This window comes from Homo sapiens, chromosome 7 (assembly GCF_000001405.40).
Source record: "Homo sapiens chromosome 7, GRCh38.p14 Primary Assembly".
Taxonomy (NCBI): domain Eukaryota; kingdom Metazoa; phylum Chordata; class Mammalia; order Primates; family Hominidae; genus Homo; species Homo sapiens.
In genome coordinates, this window is record NC_000007.14 from 9,704,552 (window position 1) to 9,726,019 (window position 21,468).

General features: G+C 34.8%; 1 long non-coding RNA gene across 1 annotated transcript in view; it reads left to right on the forward strand.

The window, feature by feature from the left end:
- The window catches only part of LOC105375148 (uncharacterized), a 147,709-nt gene that overhangs the window by 82,747 nt on the left and 43,494 nt on the right, over positions 1-21,468 (forward strand). The window contains exon 2 of the long non-coding RNA NR_187872.1: positions 12,239-12,358. This is a non-coding gene — a long non-coding RNA (uncharacterized LOC105375148). The remainder of the gene's footprint in view (positions 1-12,238; positions 12,359-21,468) is intronic.

A 21,468-nucleotide genomic window follows, 5' to 3' on the forward strand; every position in this document is an offset into this window, starting at 1 on the left:
CTGCCCATAGGAGTCCACTAGAATTATTGAATAAATTGAATAAGTAGCTATTTGGTGCTATTTGGATGTAGTGTATTGTCATTTGCATTATTTATTGAGCATCCACTCTGTATAGGATGCTGTCCTACACAAGTTGGAATCAATTTGAAAGCCAAAATTAGCCATATAACAATATATGTTAAATCACGTATTTATTTATGTATTAGGCCTGTGGCTAAATGTCTTTTGTAACAGCTTTATTTTTCTCTCTTTCTCACTGACGTATACAAAATTAGAGACCTGCTTTTCAGTAGTGAGCTGCTCTTTGCCTATCTACTGAGGAAGGATGTAGCATTTATGTAAAGTGAAAAGCTACAAGATATTACCATTATGCTGCCCAGTGAGCTGTGGCCCTGGCCATTGCCTACCACGCAACTAATTACTACCCCCATGCGAGGCAGTGCAAGCATGCATTTCAGAGATTGCTAGGGTAAATATATAAATATATCATCCAGTCTGTATTGAAATCCTTTGGTGAAATTAGAAAATGAATTTAGTTACATTTTAGTGCCGTAGAACCCCAAATATGAAATAAATAGAAAACAAATCCATTAAGCAGATGCAGTTTATTTCTTTCAAGTTGCCTAAACTAATATTCTTAAAAGCTAAAATGTTATGTGACAAAAAGCAGACCCTTTTTTACATATGACCAAGTGTCAACAAATTTGCAATACTGCAAGTCATTCTGTCTTTAATAGATCTTGTTCTCTTATTAGTACAGTCGTCCCTTGGTATGTGTGGGGAATGGGTTCCAACATATCCTGCAGATACCAAAATCTATCTTGCTCCAGTCCCTTGATATAAAATGGTGTAGCATTTGCATATAACTTGTGCATATCCTCCCATATACTTTAAACCATTAGTAGATTTCTTATAATACCTATTACAATTGAAATGCTACGTAAATAGTTGTTATACTATATTGCATAGGGAATAATGACACATAGAAAGTCTGTACATGTTCAGTACAGGCACAGTTTTTTTCCTGGATATTTTTGATTTGCTGTTGGTTGAATTCACAGATGCAGAACCCACAGACAGAGGGCTGACAATGTATTCTTATTTACTATCCTTTAAAAACTCTTCAAATATTTCTTAAAATAGTTTGTAACTTTTGATAATTCTCTTTTATTACTTCTGATTTTAATCTATTTTAATTAAAATTAAATTATGATAATGTTTACATTATGAGGTGTTTGTTTACTTTTATTGAGAGAGAAGTCTAAAGTTAATTAAATATTTAAAATAATAATATCCTAATTGTTTCACACTGGCAAAACACTGTTCTCTGTAGAACTTGTCCCTAGATATTCCACTATAACTATACTTAACATTATTTGCAGACATTGAGTAAATCCTTTTTTCTTTTTCTTTTTTTTTTGTTTTGAGACAGAGTTTCGCTCTTGTTGCCCAAGCTGGAATGCAATGGCACGATCTCAGCTCACGGCAACCTCCACCTCCCAGGTTCAAGCGATTCTCCTGCCTCAGCCTCCCAAGTAGCTGGGATTACAGGCGACCACCACCACACCTGGCTAATTTTGTATTTTTAGTAGAGATGGGGTTTCACCATTTTGGCCAGGGTGGTCTTGAACTCATGACCTCGGGTGATCCACTCGCCTCAGCCTCCCAAAGTGCTGGGATTATAAGTGTGAACCACCGTGCCTGGCTGTAAATCCTTCTTATTATCATCATTAGTTGGTGTGATCAAATTCAGAAAATTCAAATGCTTACTCCAAATCCCACAAATATTTACTATTCTACTCGTATTTTCCAAGAATAGCATTTGACATATAGTTAATTTATTTGAGGTAGTTTGGAAACAGAGGTGTTACTCTTTGTGTCAGTAACCCCAGTTCAATCAATTAAAGCCATAAATTCTCAATTTTTAAAAACATTAGTAGCTTTTATAAACTCAAAAAACCTCTGTTAGACCCCTATGATATGCAAAGCACTGTGCTGCATAGAAAGTGGCTTTTATGCCCATGTAACTTTTGATCATTAACAAGTTTTTAATTTCCTATATTAAAATGTAAGCAAGATCTTTCTTTAGAAAGTAGTTTCTAACAGGAGTTAATGTGAGTGCTCACTTCCCTTTGCTTTACTTGTCTATGACTCCTAATAGATAAGATTATGCTTGAGAATGCTACAAAGTGTATGTTAGAGTTCTCTGGTTGTAACTATCAACTCTGTCAAATATCATCTCTGTCAAACCTAAGAAAGGGTGAATTTATGTAAAGATTCAGGATAGGGTATTCCCAAGCTTAAAAAGAAGCCTATACAAAATAGGTTTAGAGAGTATAGAAAATCAGCACAAAGATCTTAGTAACATGAATTGAGTGACAATTTAGGGTAACCCAGTTAGAATGAATTAATTCCATTTATTTCTTCTGTCTTTGCAGTACCCAGTTCAAGATTTAAAGTTCTGTATCACAATCTCATTGATGGATAGGTCACTTAGTCTTGGTTACTGAGCTGTGGAAAATAAATATGTAGTAGAAGGAATCTCCAGATTTCTTAGTGGGATGGCAGATTCCACACCTTACCTATACCAAATGGAGAAGTGTTAATTCATCAGAAGAAAACCGGGATGCTGTTTATTGTTAAGTAGAGGAATGGAAGGTGTTTTCAGAAAATAATCAAAAATATATATTATGATTCCTTAACTTTTCTTTTGTGAACTATCTCCATATACAAACATACCTCGACCACATACATGTATGGCTAACACAAATCTCTAAAAAATTGCTACTTATCTTCCAAGAGAAGTAAACCTCTATTCTGGAAAGCTCTTGAATTCACAAGTGGTAATGCCTATAGCTGCTCATCAAATAACTTATAAGTAGGGAGAGGTGTTAATGTCAAGCAAATATTACCTCATAATAGCTGAAAATTAAAATGTCTATTAACAGCCTGAAATATTAAAATTGCTCCCTTTTTGATATGGCAATGTTAACATATCAACATAGCCAGTGGATAATTGATTGACCCTGAATATAGAATTCTGAAAGTACAGACAAGTGCCTTTTTAATAGGACATTATTTCCAGGGAGCAAAACCATGGTACCAAATAAAGGAACAGTTTCAGTGGCTTAGGAAATGTGCAAGCTACCTGGTAGCAATCCTTTCACAAAGTACATCCATCCTTATACATATAAATAATAAACCAGTTAATTCAGAAGGAAAATTTGGGGAGAAATTGGCTTAAAGAGAGAAACAACATTGAAACTCCAGGTATGAACATTAGTTTGTTCATTGATTTCCTCATTAAAGATACACTAAAATCTCTAAGAAACTAATCAAAGAATAAACTAATATTTAGGAGGGCAGAACTGAAGGGGTAATAAAATGTTTTTGAAGGCATGCATATAAATGAAACCCAAAGTACCTATTTTTGTCTCTGAATTCAATAGGTCCTAGGAGATGAGCTCTCCAGGATGGCGAAGCATCTAATGGATGATAAAGTAGGTACTTGAACAGGACTAAGTGCCTTGGTCTGGGACAATGAAGCTCAGCAATCACTGAAGGACAGGTCAGCAAATCATCATCTGTTTGCATATTTATAAGGGGTCACAAAGACATAAGTTATTTCAAACCCTTACTGGGACTTAAAATTACCACTTTAAAATAGGGAAGACAAATGGACTAACTTGAAAATGAATTGGTAATGACATACTACAGTGGAACACAAGTTTTTAAAAATAATCCCTAATATTATTTTCATTGTGCTGAATTTTCTCGAAGCATCTAATGATTATTAATTATAAGACAGTCAACATAATACAAATGTCTAACATGATTAAATGTTATTTATGAAAAATATGCCATGTCATTGGCATTTTTAAACAAGCTATAATGAAAAGTTATAAATATATTTTCAAATAATACATACATGATCCTTTTAAGTAAATAATCTCTCAGACCAGGTAAAGGGGTAGATTAATATTCTGGAAGGGTTATGTTTGAGTTGTAAAGATAACAACTATAAAGGGCTACAATTGTGACTAGAATTCTGCAATGAAAAAAATACTAGGATAGGTGCTGTCTTACTAGAGAGAGAAAATTAATTACGAAAAAATAGGTTTGAAAAATCTTACCTGTCTTTGACTTTCAAGCATATTATTTTCTGTAATCACTTTTTTTTTCTTGCAATGGGCCCATGATTTGGAAGTCCAAGTAGTTCAACAGCAGGCAAAACCTTTTAAAATCTAAGGATGACTCCTCTATATTTCTTCTTAGAGAAGAAGAAAAAATTAAGATGGCAATGAATACTAAATGTTTAAAACTAGGAAAGATGTATTTTAAATTTCAAATGTTTTAAGTGGTTGGCTCAGTTTATTGGACCATTATATATTTTTTTATTTTTTAACTAATCCACCAATAAAATTTTCCTCAGACTTTAAGGAAGCATAAAATAATTAAGGAAATGATCAATCCATGCTTAAAGGGTATCATCATCCTGTTGTTATAGAATTGGAATACAAGAAACGTTAATTTCTAACTTAGAAACACTTAGGAACCAATGGATGCTTAGGATGCTGGAAAAATGGTTTTTCCAAGGGCAAACCCTCAGTTTCCTCATGTGATAAAGCATTGTAAAACAATATAAAGTCATCAGGAACACATACAAATCCCCAAAAAAACACTCCAAAAAAAATAAAAAGTTTCTGTTAGGTCAGTTTACACCAAGTAAAAAGAAGCCTGACAATTTTTTCCTTAAAACTCAAGTTTTAGTTGCCTCAGCCTCAGGGAAATCATAAATTTGAGAAGTGGCAGTTTATATGGGTTTTATGAGCCTGTTTACTCTGTTATTCATGAAAAAGGAACTTGCTTTAGCAACTGCTGCACCTCATGATACTTACGTTACCTGTGAGTTAGCTAGCAGATTTTTAAAGAAGCAAAAAGAACTTGTATTAAGAAAGCAGTATGCTAGCAACATATGTTTGAAATAAATATCATTGTAAAATTAAGGTGAGTTAATTTTAGATAAATACTTTCTACCAAAGGACATTTGTGAGAAGGCTACAGTTCATGGGATGCTCATATGCTCTAATTTGATTTGCTTGCTCAGTCAACATTTATAGAACTTTCCACACATAATATAATAGGTATTGGGTTAGAAAATATTAAAAGCAGCTGTTCATGCCCCAGAGACCCTCATACTACAAAGAAAACACTTCAAATTATTTTCCAATTGAGAATGATAGCGATTATTTTTTTATTCCTGAAAATCTGCAACTTTCTATTGATACTTAAAGTTACAAATCACATTTACATCTCAAGTTAAAGATGAGATTGAATTACAATCACAAATACAGAATAAAAATCCCTAAACCTTAAATATGTGTACTACCTATAATCATTTGATGATTTACCATGTCATAAGATGGTGACAAATTTTTTAACCCCTGAACCCTTTGACTCTAGTAACATTTGTTGGGCATTTCAAAACTGCAGAATGTTTTCTTTTGGGTCTCAAAATGAAAATGTCTGAGGAAATATAAAATGTGGCAGAAAATAATGCAATGGCCATAATTTTGGTTTGAGAGAAAAATTAAATTTGAACTCTGGCCCTTCAGCCTCCTGCTGTTTGCATTAGTGAACGCTACTATATTTCCTTAATAAAGAGTTTCTTCATTTATAATAATGACAAAAAGTGAATCCCTGTCTTATGATGATATGGTCATTATGAGAATTAAGTAAAGGTAATATATGCCATATCATGAAGTAGTAACAGTAATTCTTAAGAGTCCACCAGAATGACATCAGGAGAACAGCGATGTTTGGCCAGCACCGCTTAAGAGTGTGGTCCAGGGCCCAATAATGTCAGGATCACCCGGCTCCACTCCAGATCTCCTGAAACAGAATTTCTGTGTGGGACCCAGGAACCTGTGTTTTAATAAGTTTGCCGTCCAATTTTTGTGCACACTAAATTATGAGAAGCAGTCCTCTAATCTGCTCTCAGCTATATTTCCAGTACCTACATTTACAGTGGGCAACAAAGATAAGCCTAATTCATTAATATTTGTTTAACCATTCTCTCAGTAATGATTGCTCTGTACTTCAAGACGTCTTTTCTTATACTTACTATTGGGAAACATCTCAGGATGAGAGACTTCAAGTAACTTCCTTTGTTATTTTGCAGGTCACAGCAACAGTAAGGAACAAAAATTGTATTTTCAGGTATTTTACATCGTCAGATAATCCTTTTGGAATGACAATAATAGCAGTGCCTACACTATAGGACAGTTGTGAACATTTTGGGCAATGCATGAAAAACATTTGGCAAATTACTTGCATTATATTATGTGCAATCAAAAATAATATCATGGTTTTGGGATCTTATTTTCTTAACTAACTTAAACAGAAATTTTATTGGGAAAACAAATGTATAGAACCTTTAAGAATTTTATTTTGCAAGGAAGAAAGAGAATATTGCCTTTTTATAAGTTGATTTTTTGCTTTATTTCCATTTTCCAAGTCAGTGTATGTAGAATAATGATTAAGGTTCAAAAATCTATTTACCCTCTTAACAACAGAATAGGTTGAGTTGTTTTAAAACTCTTTCATTGTATAATATAAGAGGTTAAAGATGACGAATAATAATCAACCTAAGCAAACTGCTACTGCAACTTTCCTCGACTCAGGTGTTTTGCACACAATGTGTAGAAAGTGGAATCTTTGAAAAGGAAAGTCTCTATGTAAGTTTAAACACAGTAATAATCATGAAAATGAGGAATAAGTGATTCATTCTATAAACATAAGATTTTTCTCAACTAATAATTATGTCTGTAGTGAAGTACCTAGTCATCAGCAAATCACAAGACTGAATTTGTCTGTTTTCTTTTGATCATCACTAAGACTTAGTTGTGATGCATTTGATGACTTCCCACTGCAACAGGAAACAGGATATTGTGCCATTATGCCTGCAGCCATAAAAATGGTTAGAAGCTTCTTGTAACAACAAAAAATCCCCTGAGAAATATACTTTTAAAAGCTTCAAAGAATGTTAAAGATTTTCAAATACGCTATAAATGGACATCTGCAGTCCGTGCTGTACTTCAATAAAATGAGAATGGTTGTCATGTCAAATCTCCACAGGCTGTCTTTGCCTGTGTTTTCCTGGTTAAGAAATTCCACTCAAGCAGAATGAAACCTAACCTTTAATATTACATTCTGTAGAACAAGCCCCAGTGACACGTAAGAGGATCTTATCACTGGATCTCAATGGATTTGGTTTAAAACAGCTTTTTTCCTGCAAGACAGATATCAGATTGGGAGTACTTTTCAAGAAAAAAAGCCCATCTCCTCTTCATAGTATAACCTGAAAAATAAAAAGTTTGCTCAGAATAATCACCAAAGAACAGATAAGGCTATTTGGATAGCACTTCATCCAATAGGCAAGGCTCAAAAATCTATACTGATCTGTGAACAAATTATATATTTAAAAGATGTTCTATTCTTTTTCAGGTTGTAACTAGCAAGTTATAAAACTCACAAAAATAAATAAATATAAAAATCTGATGCAAATGAAATTTAATAATATATATTCCTATCTAAAATGAAATGAATCGAATAATCAAAATCAAGTATTGCAACATACAACAAAACTAATATTGACCCCAAACATAATAAAGTATATTTAAATAAATAATTAATTTGATAGTATTAGGTTGGTGCAGAAGTAATTGCGGCTTTTGTCATTACTTTTGCACCAACTTAATATAATTTATGTCTACTTATTAGTCATTTGTTTTCTACTTATTTCCCCTAGAAACTGAAGTAGAAGTTGATAAATCCCAATGGGAAATATAATTTATTCTTTGATGAGAAGAAAATAGATGTAAGCATGATGTTAAATCTAAGTTTGAGAGTTTAATTCCAAAATTAACTATATGTAGAATTAATATATTACCAAAAATTAAATAAGAGTATAAATTATTTTGCTTTTATTAATATGAATTAAAAACATTACCTATTTAAAACTTAGATTTTAGTCTCTTGAGATATTAAAATCTATTTTCGATATAACTGTTTCTTTTTTGAGGAAGATCATATCTCCATAGAGGAATAACATGGAGATTTTAATTTGGATACTGTAGAGTTTAAAAACAAGAAATTATATTTTCCATGTAATTTACTTTGGTTCTTGAATGTGTTCTCAATATTGATGGCATGAATACAACATTTTAAAACTTAAAAAAATTATTTAACAAATACTTGTATAGTACTTACTATATATGTGCCAGGTACACAGAATATAAGCACTTTGAAAATACTAGCTCATTTCATCTCAAAACCTACTTTATAAAGGAGATGTTACTGTAATCCCCATTTTGCATTAAGGAAACAGAAGAACGAGGGAAAAATAACCTGCCCTAGGTCACAAAGTCATGGCGCTGGTGAACGAACCCAGGCACCCGCACAGGATGTGTGTTGTTAACCACCATTTTAGCTGATGCTTCTATGTGGTCTTAGGCAGCAATTTGTTGGTTAAAATTAAATTTTCTTGAAGAGTACACTTTAATTGAATGAGATAGAATTCAGGCATTCCTTTTTATTTATTTATTTATTTATTTATTTATTTATTTATTTATTTATTTTTTGAGACGGAGTCTCGCTCTGTCGCCCAGGCTGGAGTGCAGTGGCGCCATCTCGGATCACTGCAAGCTCCACCTCCCGGGTTCAAGCGATTCTCCTGCCTCAGTCTCCCGAGTAGCTGGGACTACAGGCACCTGCCACCACGCCTGGCTATTTTTTTGTATCTTTAATAGAGAAGGGGTTTCACTATGTTGGCCAGGCTGGTCTCGAATTCCTGACCTTGTCATCCACCCACCTCGGCCTCTCAAAGTGCCGGAATTACAGGTATGAGGCATCGTGCCCGGAATTCAGGCATTCTTATATATATTTGTTCAGCTGACATTTGTGTTTTTATGAAAGTATCATGCCTGAAACCCAAAGCACCAGAAACCACAGGGGAAAACCCAAAGTGTTCATAGCACTTCAAATCAGTTTATAGAATGAAGTAGAAGTCTGATAGGTACAGAAAGAGGAATACTTTCCACACAAAGGGTATAGGCCTCACTTCCCATGAGTTGTAATTTGAAATTTGTGACCTTGAGTAACACAAATTTTAAGTAAAAATTTGCATGAATTCTAAGCTATGTTATAATAGAAAATCCCAGGGAAAACAGATGTACTTTTAGAATGTTCCTTTTAAAGACTGGCAGGGCCTAAATTGTGTGAGGCAAAAGCAAGAGAGTGGTCATACCGACAAAAAAAAATTTGAGAAAAGTTTTAATTAAACTCTTTTATTTTGGAAGGGGGCATTTTGTATTTATTATTTAGCTTTTAAAAATTCCCTAAAGAGAAATGAACAGCCAAAATCATATACTAGGGAGAACACAGAAAAACGTTGAACTCCAGTGTTCATTGGGCAGTTAAATGAGTGCAGTGGGTGAGGTGAGGACTGTGATGAGGGGTCTGTATGGTAGAGCCACTTCTTTCCTATATCTCCAGCACACTGTTTCTTACAGTCAATTTCCAAATTTGATCATCAATTTGCCTTTTTAGCATGATGAATCTGCCAGGTCATAGTAGCCCCAAACTACAGGGTCACTGCCTTTTATAACACTTTAAGCTGCAAAAAGGGTAAAAGGTGGGTCATAGGTGGGCATGACATGTCAGCATTCAAGAACAAATTCCATTATTGTGTAAGAAAATATTCATTGTACCACAGTTACATTTTTAATTTTTTTCTTATTGTATTCAGATTATTTCTACTTTTGGCACTAATGCATTTTTAAAAGAGAGAGTATATTAAAGAGTTTTGAAGGTTCAGCTGAGATTAAAAGTCATAAATATTTAGAAGTGCCAATCAGGATGGTTTTATTATCTTTTCAGCCAATTTTAAGAGACCTGATATAAGGCTTACGATTAAGCTAAGAACATTAGATAATTAAAACTATTGGTAACAACACAGTTGTAATAGTTGACCAACTATTGGAAAGAAAATAAAAGAGCAGGCTGAAGGATTTGAAAAATAGGAAGCAGTCAAGGAACTCGTTGCAAAGGAATGGAAGAGCAAGTTTGCTAAGTGATATTGAAAGAGAGGATATTCCCATTAGACACTAAACTCAGAAAATAACATTGCAAATGCATTAAACCATAAATAAATTAAATTCTTATAGAATTTTATTAAGAGTCTAATCATATATTTATTGTTCTCATGTTATGGTTGGGGATAACAGGTTTCAAGTATTTAAATAATTTGCAAAATAGCAGGTAATAAGAAAATGTCAGAGCAAAGATTAAACACTAGGCCTGTTTGAATCCAGAATTTTAACTCTTAATTACATTAATATTATCTTCTGAATTAATATGTTTCTGGTTGACAAAAGGAAGCCATGTAGAGGACTACTCTAGGGGGTGCAGAAACGATCTTTGTAGATGAATGAAATGAGGTTAGAATATCCATGTTGAACATGAGTGGTGCCCAGTATGATCACATATGGATAACAAAGAGGACAATGGTGAGTTAGATGGCCAGATCTAGACACAGTGAACAGTGCTGACATAGAAATTTATAAGGGCTGACAAAAATAGGTCAGAATAATTGGATAGCAAGAACTTCAGAAAAGAATGTTAACTCAAGTTACCAAAATAATGGTGTGGAAAGTTAAATAGTAAAGAAGACTCCATATTAACATTTCATTTTACTTAATGTGTTTATATTACAAAGGCTTCTAATGTTTTATATTACTTATCACTATTGCTATATTATTAACTACCATAAACTTGGCAGTTACACACACACACACACACACACACACACACCACACACAAACACACCACATACAAACACCTTTATTATCTTAGAATTTTGATAGGTAAGGAATTTGGGCTCAACTTAGCTGGGTTTTCTGTTTTTAGTGTTTTCCACAAAACTGCATTCAAAGTGTTGGCCAAGGCTGAGGTGTCTTCTGAAAGGTGGACAGGGGAAGAATCAATTTCCAAGGTAACATGGATAGTAGCAGAATTCAATTCTTTGCTGGTTGTCAGATTGAGGACTTTCTGTTTTTGCTGGCTCTAACCTGAAAGCTGCTGTCAGTTATTTACCCAGTGTGCCTCTCCACAGAGCCCCTTACACAATGACAGCTTGTTTCATCAAAAACAGAAAGGAGAGAGTTTGCTAGCAAGATGGGGGTCAGAATCCTGTATAATCCATTCTTGACAATAATATCAGATAATCTTTGCCATATTATATCAGTTAGAGGCAAGTCACAGATCCAGCCCACACTAAATGGGAGCGGATTGAACAAGTGTGTGAATACCAAGAGGTGGAGTTTGTTGAAGACCAACTACCACGTATCTCTAATAATAATCTTCTATATTGAATGACTTATTTTTTTCTCACAGTGGGATGAATAGAGGAGGGTAGAGAAAGACCCTATAGGAACATAAAGACAAGCTACAAAATACAATTTCATTGCTTCCAAGTAGTCAGTGAGTGTTGCTTTCCCTTTAATCTCACATATTTGCAGAAATGAAAGCTATTCTCCCAGGAAAATCATATTTCTTGCTAACTTGACTTTTGGTTTACCTCGTAATTTATTTTCTACTTTATTATTGATAAACTGTTTTATTCTTCCCTTTACTACAAGAAATTTTAGTCCCAGATCAAAAACCTACCAGTTACTTGGGAAATTACTTTTGACTCACAGTTCACATTGCTGATTTCATTGATAATTACAACAACACCAGCTATAAGGATAACTCTCAAAAAGTAATTATCCAGAAAGTGTTCATTATGTCAAAATGCCTCAGATAAGAAACATATTTTGTGTTATATTGGAATGACCACCAAACAGCAAGGGATATGAGTCCAGTAGTACAATGTTTAATGTGCTATGGGTTAAAAGAAGTAAAGGTTTTAATACTTGACTACATTTAAAATCTCAAATTGTTAACAGAAATTTTACTATAGGATACTTTGCTGTGAAGCTAATGAAGGTTAAGCTTCAGGGCCCTTCACTTGGACAGGCCTCTTCTGATGCTTTTATGCTCTACTCCAGGGACTTCGGGGAAGCGAGGGGAGCAAAAACCAGAGCTACAGAGCACGGCCCCACACTAGGTGTCACTTGCTGTACCCTAGTGGTGATTTCCATATCTAACCTGTCCCTAATAAACATTTGCCCCATAGGTCCTCAAGGTACATCGTTGGGATCAAGCAACTTTGATCCCAAGGAGAAGAATAAAAACAAGAGGGACGACTGGGCCAAGGTGCCATGTGAAGTGACCTGTGAGGATCAACCCAGTGAAGGTAAGGATGGAATTGGCATGGAGAATAAAGCAGGAGGGAATGGCCCATAGCCTTTGTAAGAGCCATTGGGAACCATGTCTACTTAATCAAAAGTATGGAAGCCTTCAAGAGTTTTTCTTAGGGCAAGAATCATTGCCTAAACAAGCCACTGCACAGGAATTTATAGATGTGTCATTACCAGGAAAGAGTTGTGGAGCTAAAAGAAAGTTTTCTAAACTATTAACCACTTTTTTTTTTCAATCGACCATGCTAGATTGAATTAACTTTCTAGTGTCCCCACAGAAAATATTTTAAAATTGCTACATATGAAGAAACAAAGGCTGTGAAGCCAAAATATGTAGAGATGTCAGGCAGCTAACTAATACTATTAATACATTATTTTTCTGAATGTTGTAATGTTTGTGATATTGCCACTTTATTTGCTTTTGCTTTTTAATTTGTTGGAATTCATTTTCTCAAACAAAATAAATGTTTTACTTTCATGCTTTTTTCTTTTTATAAATTTGTAATAATTTTTCCTCAAAGAGAACTTCCAAAACAGTGTAAGTGATCTGCCCTGAACACTATAAAGTCCTTCATCACTGTCTCTTTCTGCGTTGTATATGTAACTATGTATCTGAGCCAATTATTCCTAGTAAAAATCATTTTGGGCCGGGCGCGGTGGCTCACGCCTGTAATCCCAGCACTTTGGGAGGCCGAGGCGGGCGGATCACGAGGTCAGGAGATCGAGACCATCCTGGCTAACAAGGTGAAACCCCGTCTCTACTAAAAATACAAAAAATTAGCCGGGCGTAGTGGCGGGCGCCTGTAGTCCCAGCTACTCGGGAGGCTGAGGCAGGAGAATGGCGTGAACCCGGGAAGCGGAGCTTGCAGTGAGCCGAGATTGCGCCACTGCAGTCCGCAGTCCGACCTGGGCGACAGAGCGAGACTCCGTCTCAAAAAAAAAAAAAAAAAAAAAAAAATCATTTTGAAGTTTTGCTTCTTTCTCTCCTCCAATAGAAGTATCCTTCTGCCTGCAGTTTCTGAAAGAATATGCCTGCATGCAGCATCTCTTCCTTACTGGAGCAGATATCTCATGACTAGATTAGGTTTATTAATTTACAGAGATTTTTCAGGATAATGCCTAGTCATGAGGCTCATTTTTTAAACCCACAAACAATGAAGGAAAAATTGGCTTGTCATCCTAGTTCAGGAAAAATTAAGAGGTTTTTTTCTTGCCTACCAGGGATTTAGAGAAAATCTCTATAATCCCACTGGCATGAATTGCAAATGTAATCACCAATATGAAAAAGGTTAAAAAGCTCTGAAGTGTTGGGCTATGCTGCTTTGGCAAACAAAGGCCTCATTGTTCACAGAGCAGAACTCAGCTTCTGGGTTTCTGTATAATGGTGGTGAGCAGAAACACATTCTTAAACCCTGGGTCAGCAAAGCATCAAACAATAAAATAAAGAATATGATAGATGTTGCCTTCAGAAAAGAGAAAAGAGTAAAATCTCCCTTCACAATGCCACTTCATATCTTGCCTCACTTGATCCCAGTAGTCACTTCTAGCCAGGTTCACAAAGGTTTAATTGATGTCTGGGATGTGTATAGAACATAAGGTCTCCCTTAGTAAAATATGCTATTATGCTTAAGAGAAACACCTTCATAATTCATTAGGAACTTCTGGGAATGGAAGCCATTAAGTTAGTCACAAAAGAAAACTCATTCAGTCAAATGAGTTTGTTTTCACTGTGCTTTTTTCTCCTTCCAAAACCAAAGACTGAAATTTCTAGAATGCCTGAAAATAAAAATGTGCAACAGACAAAAGTGTGCATCTAGGATTAGGTTTAAAAACCTGAGCAAAATGAAATAAACACTGCTGTCTTCAGTTTATCAGTTTAATTCTGATTTCACTCTGATTTGAAAGGGATGGGTGACATCTTAAAAACCAAGTCCAGTTTCTCCAGCCCAGGGAATTACTTGGATTAGGCCTTGGCTATAATGGGTCTTTGAGTAAATGCTGCATTTTTTTTTTTTTTTTTTTTTTTTTTTTTGAGGTAGAGTTTCACTCTTGTTGCCCAGGCTGGAGTGCAATGACACGATCTCTGCTCACTGCAACCTCCACCTCCCAGGTTCAAGCGATTCTCCAGTCTCAGCCTCCCAAGTAGCTGGGATTATAGGTACGCACCTCCACGCCTGGCTAACTTTGTATTTTTTTAGTAGAGACAGGGTTTCTCCATATTGGTCAGGCTAGTCTCTGTTTTCTAAATAAACTACTTATAAGGCTCACTCGAATGTTTCTAAAGGGTGGTAGATATTTTAAATGCTTGTTCTTAACACAAATCTCAAGACAATTAGGCATATCTTTCTTAGATTTAACATTTTACTTTCATATTTTACTTTTACTTGAATTACTGTTGATAGTTTTCTCATATAAGAGCCAAAAGGAGAAAACTTTGAGAAAGTCAAGGTTTAGACAGTGGCTAGTAAAAGTCAGTTTATGGGGTGTTTTAACTACACCTTGAAGGTTCATGTGACTATTACCCACATCTCAGGGATGATACAATAAATAAAGGCTAGACTCGGGCAGTGACTCACTGAGCTCAGCAACACGCTGGGGACGTGCATGCTGGGAGTTACAGTTTAGGAATGGTCAAGTCACTTAGCTGCTCAATGACTGTTACCACCACTGTAAAATGAGGTTAATATTGCTAAGAACTGGGAGGTAAACATTACATGTGATTGCAAAGTTCCTTGAAAACGTAAAGATAATATGTAAATGCTGAAAGGCACAGGTCATACATCAATGAGTGCATATAATTTGTGCATAGAAGAGAGAGATGTTTTACCCAAAACAGATGATCAAAAGTGATTGAGCTTACTTAGCTGGGCTTCAGCCATTAAAAACAATTTGAAAGATGAAAAGAATGAGGAGTTGAGAAGGAGAGGGAGCAAGAGAAAGAGGAGACTTGGGCAGTGGTTGGGGATTAAGGGATTACCAAACATGTTGAATATGCTAGTAAAAGTCAAATCGATTGACCCTTTTTTCACTTTCTTACTACACTTAAGTTTATTCTCCATGATAAAGGCCTTTAAATTTTCTCATCTCCAAAAGCGTTTCTTCTAGAAAGACTACTGTTATTAATTCACCCCTCTGTGAGAATCCATTTTTAAAATCTCTTAAGTAGTTCTAATTTCAAAATGTGATCCGGTGCTTTGTCATTATGCTTAGGTAAAAAAAGTGAATATTAAGTTTAGTATAAGAAGAAAAAATAAGAACACAAGTGTTTGTGTTTTTACTTTCATGTAAAAAATAAGAAACCAAGTGAAATGCTAACTTGCAAGGGATAGGTGGGAGCTAGAAGAAGGAAATGAGAACATGAGCAAGGCGTTTTTGAGTATTTTTAAAATATGCTTTGGTCTTTTGAAACATCATTTATTAATAAATGAATCAAATCAAAAATATATGAAAACAAAACTTATATTCAACCCAAATAGAAACAAATTTTTTGCCATATTGATAAAATAATCATCTGATAATAAGATTCAATTAAAGTAACTTTTGAACATTGTATTCTTTTTTTATATGAGAGACAGAGAGAAAGAGAGAGAAAACAACTACAAATAAATCTTCAAGGCTTTTTTTGTTTTTAATAATAAAATGGGTGTCAGAATTTTAGTAGTATTGTTAGATATATTGATACTGATGGTTACCAGAGTTTCAACCTGCAGAGAAGAAAGACAGATGTGTAATGAAGAAAGTGAAGAACACTATGATATTGTTATTGATGTGGAAGTATCAATATGAAATCATTATATAACTGTCCATGTCATCCATTATCCACCTATGTATGCATGTATATATGCACGTATCTATTTCTTCATATTCTCCATTGAAAGAGATCAGAAGCAATGACACTCTATGAGTAATGAGCATACCTAACACACAAATATTTTTTTCTCAATGGCAGTCTCCAGTGAAAGGAACCAGGGCATCTTGAGCAATGACATATTCAAAATCTGAGTCCTGGAAAGTATAATATGAGCCTGGAACATCTTGTTGTTTCACAAAACAAAGAAGTGCTCAAATATCAGTGAAGCTAGTTTAAAATGATACCAGAACTAGCTTTAAAGGGCTTACTATGGCCAAACAAGCATTAAAAAAGTAACTACGTGAATGGATTTGAACACCATTGAAATACAGATGTGTAAGTGTGTGTGTGTGTGTGTGTGTCCAAAGTTTAGGAAAATGATAGGCTTTAAGAACAGTTATGTAGGCCAGGCGCGGTGGCTCATGCCGGTAATCCCAGCACTTTGGGAGGCCGAGGCGGGCGGATCACAAGGTCAGGAGATCGAGACCATTCTGGCTAACACTGTGAAACCGCGTCTCTACTAAAAATAAAAAAATTAGCGGGGCATGGTGGCGGGCGCTTGTAGTCCCAGCTACTCGGGAGGCTGAGGCAGGAGAATGGCGTGATCCCGGGAGGTGGAGCTTGCAGCGAGAGGGGATTGCGCCACTGCACTCCAGCCTGGGTGACAGAGCGAGACTCTGTCTCAAAAAAACAAACGAACAACAAAAACAAACAAACAAACAAACAAAAAACAGTTATGCAGAAGGCCCCCAATCTTATCTTTCTTCCCTCTTTTCTCTTTAATCCCTGTCTCCTTCTCTCTTCTTGATCTTAGAAATTCTGTGCCTCTGGTCATTTTTTGGAATACATTGATAATAGTGTCTCCTAAACTACGAGTGACATCATCACCCCTTTCAGAATTATTAAAAAGAAGATTTGGGAAACCAAAAGAATGAATCTGTAATGGTGAACTATATAAAATTATGCTTTTTAGTTTTCACCTGCACCTTTTAAATGATGCTAATATAGTAAGACTTTACTCAGTCTGCACAGCTGATTTATAAGGCTCTCTTATTTTATTTTATTTTTATTTTATTATTATTATACTTTAAGTTTTAGGGTACATGTGCACAATGTGCAGGTTTGTTACATATCTATACATGTGCCGTGTTGGTGTGCTGCACCCATTAACTCGTCATTTAGCATTAGATATATCTCCAAATGCTATCCCTTCCCCCACTCCCTACCCCACAACAGGCCCCAGTGTGTGATGTTCCCCTTCCTGTGACCATGTGTTCACATTGTTCAATTCCCACCTATGAGTGAGAACATGTGGTGTTTCGTTTTTCTTCCTTGCGATAGTTTGCTGAGAATGATGGTTTCCAGTTTCATCCATGTCCCTACAAAGGACATGAACTCTTCATTTTTCATGGCTGCATAGTATTCCATGGTGTATATGTGCCACATTGTCTTAATCCAGTCTATCGTTGTTGCACATTTGGGTTGGTTCCAAGTCTTTGCTATTGTGAATAGTGCCACAGTAAACATACGTGTGCATGTGTCTTTATAGCAGCATGATTTATAATCTTTTGGGTATATACCCAGGAATGGGATGGCTGGGTCAAATGGTATTTCTAGTTCTAGATCCCTGAGGAATCGCCACACTGACTTCCACAATGGTTGAACTAGTTTACAGTCCCACCAACAGTGTAAAAGTGCTCCTATTTCTCCACATCCTCTCCAGCACCTGTTGTTTCCTGACTGTTTAATGATTGCCATTCTAACTGGTGTGAGATGGTATCTCATTGTGGTTTTGATTTGCATTACTCTGATGGCCAGTGATGATGAGCATTTTTTCATGTGTTTTTTGGCTGCATAAATGTCTTCTTTTGAGAAGTGTCTGTTCATGTCCTTTGCCCACTTTTTGATGGGGTCGTTTGTTTTTTTCTTGTAAATTTGTTTGAGTTCATTGTAGATTCTGGCTACAGTAACCAAAACAGCATGGTGCTGGTACCAAAACAGATATAGATCATTGGAACAGAACAGAGCCCTCAGAAATAATGCCACATATCTACAACCATCTGATCTTTGACAAACCTGACAAAAACAAGAAATGGGGAAAGGATTCCCTATTTAATAAATGGTGCTGGGAAAACTGGCTAGCCATATGTAGAAAGCTGAAACTGGATCGCTTCCTTACACCTTATACAAAAATTAATTCAAGATGGATTAAAGACTTACATGTTAGACCTAAAACCATAAAAACCCTAGAAGAAAAGCTAGTCAATACCATTCAGGACATAGGCATGGGCAAGGACTTCATGTCTAAAACACCAAAAGCAATGTCAACAAAAGCCAAAATTGACAAATGGGATCTAATTAAACTAAAGAGCTTCTGCACAGCAAAAGAAACTACCATCAGAGTGAACAGGCAACCTACAGAATGGGAGAAAATTTTCGCAACCTACTCATCTGACAAAGGCTCTCTTATGTTAACCAAGTTTTAAGTATAGCCCACGTGCCACCATTTCTTGAAAAAAAAATTTTTAACGTCCAGTTTCTTCTTAGTTCAGATGAAGGTTAATTCCATGGACTGTACACGTGACTGTAGATTTACTCTACTTTTTTTCATTGTTTTTACATATATTTTTTCACAGACTTGCTTTACAGAATCAAACTTATCTTTCTGTATTGCGAATAAACTTGATAATTTTGAAATGTGTGTTATAGCATGGCTAGTATCCTTAGATTCCCAGGAACTTTCTTTCTACTGTGTTTGGAAGATCCTTTTCTTCGTACACTCAGAAAGGGATCTGTTGTAGATCTTAGATGAGTAATGGTCAGTTTGGGTAGGAATAGTATAAATCCAAGTTAGTGCTTGTTTTTTTACTATTTATTTTTACTACAGTTTCTCACCAAAACTACCTAATGAAAGAAGGGTAATTTATTCGGTTTAAATGGGTATCAGTGAATAATGAGGGTATCTGATCCATGATCTGCAGTGCTAATAATGCAAAACACATAGACATGAGGTCATAGGTAAGTTTAGGAACTTACCTATGGTACTAATATATTTATATCACTTGCAGACAATAATTTTTAGTGATTGCCAAAGTGAATGACATTAGTCCACTAAGTGGCCTTGTTGCAGGTTTATTTAAAACAAAAAGACAGTTTTATTTTATTGTAAGCATGAAAACTTTAAATGCAGCATTAATGGGTAAACTCCTTTTGCTCAAATTTGACAACACTAACATAAATATGGTAATGCATTTGAAATGCTTAGCATAGCTTTTCACTTCTAGAGAATATTTAATATATACTAGCTGTCATTTATATGCAGCTCATAGTTATTTGTGTACTATTGTTTGCCTTTCTCTTCCACTATAATTTTCATCAGGGTGGATTTTTTCCCATGATTTTACACTCACCACCTAGCATGGTTCCTGGAGTACCACAAGAGTTCAATAAAATATTTGTTGATTAATCAAAACCATTCTCCCCACCAGAATTCATATTTACTAAGTGCTTATTTTATATAAATTCTGTATTCAAACTAATACACAAAGCAATTTCTTATAAGGTTTTTACTATGAGACATAATTTGCATTACATTGTCCATAATATAAGGAATAATAGCACTGATTTTGTAGCTGCATTATCTTAATAGTGAACTCAGTCATGTAATATAGATATTAATATTTCCATTTTATAGATGAGAAAACTGAGGTTGGTCAGATTAATTGTAAGAGTTCTGTCCTTGCCATGATATCTGAAATTCAAACAATATATTTCCTGCATCTCTTTTATTAGATGTATCTGTGAAGCACTTTGACAATTATTAAAAGAAAATGAAATTCTAGCTCTTACACCAATGAGTATGTTCATAGTTTTAAAAAGCCTCCTATGGGATACAACTACATTATGAAAAGAGACCTTTACTGTGTGAACAGATTGGAAAGGAGTCTGGAGATGCTATTTGAAAGGGCAAAGATCTCAGAAATAGGGCTGTTTGTGTTTGACAAGCTGCTTCCATTTGGTTAAATAAGAAATAGAAGACATCACAGATAAATGTCACATAGGCAAAATGTTTTAGAGATACTGTAATCACTGGCTTATGGGAGATTTGTGATACAGCCTTGGAATGTGTACTTACTGAATCATGTGCCAAAATGGATGTGGAAAACTAATTATGTTTAGATGAAATGGAAAAGCAAAATGGATACCTGAAAATTTTGCAGGATTAAGCAAAATTGAGCATGATAACAAAGAAACAGACACAGAGACTTAGATATTACTTTGGAGTTTTAAATGTCATTTCTGTTCACTTCAACGGAGGCAAGGCATTGACAATCAAACATGTCAACATATGGCACTTAACAAATTGACAATGGGGTTGAGTACCAGTGTACCGCACCTGCATCAGCTCTCCAGATTTTCTGTAAATCTGCTGTTCTTTGTCAATGATAGAAACTACCTTACAGAGTGTTAACACAGTGTGCCCCAATTAAGAAAATGTAGAAATTATATCTTCATTATAAAAATTCAAGGATCCTAAAATTTTGTTCCAGGTTTGTTGTTAATATTGCACGTTATTTACAAATAATTGTTTCAGTTGATCTGCTTCATTAATAAAATTTGTTTTGCATAGCAAGCTGCAAATAAGACTGTAGACAACTTGTATACCAACTTTTTAAACATAATTTTTAGAATATATATATCTATATATTTTAAATACTACATATATTATGTATACCTATATTAGGTATATAAATACTTTTATTAATTTTAAAAATTTTGTGATACTTATTAGTCTTCAGTATATGTGTATATATTTTGTCCTTATAAAACATTTTTTGCAAAATACTTGCATACATACCCCATATGTCTAGAGTTGCTTTTCCTTAGCATGTAGGAAAAAGCTGTTTTGGCTAGGCCAAATTCACCACCACTGTAGGCAAATTCTGTACAATCTATGTCTATAGTATGTGTAAATTATCTCAGATATCATAATAAAATTGTCAGGATGTAATCTGGGATAGTAATCTTGGATACTTTTTTGAAGCATTTTTAAATATTTGCTCTGTAACTAACATTGATTGGTATAACTAATACTCTTATTTTTTAACTAGAATGATGTCATAATATTATCATATTGTTTATCTGATACTAACAATTATAATAACAATTTGCTTTGGATATAAATTTATATGTTGAAATTGACTTCCTTCAGTTATTGAAGGCCAAAAATACATACTGAACTATAAGGAATATAGA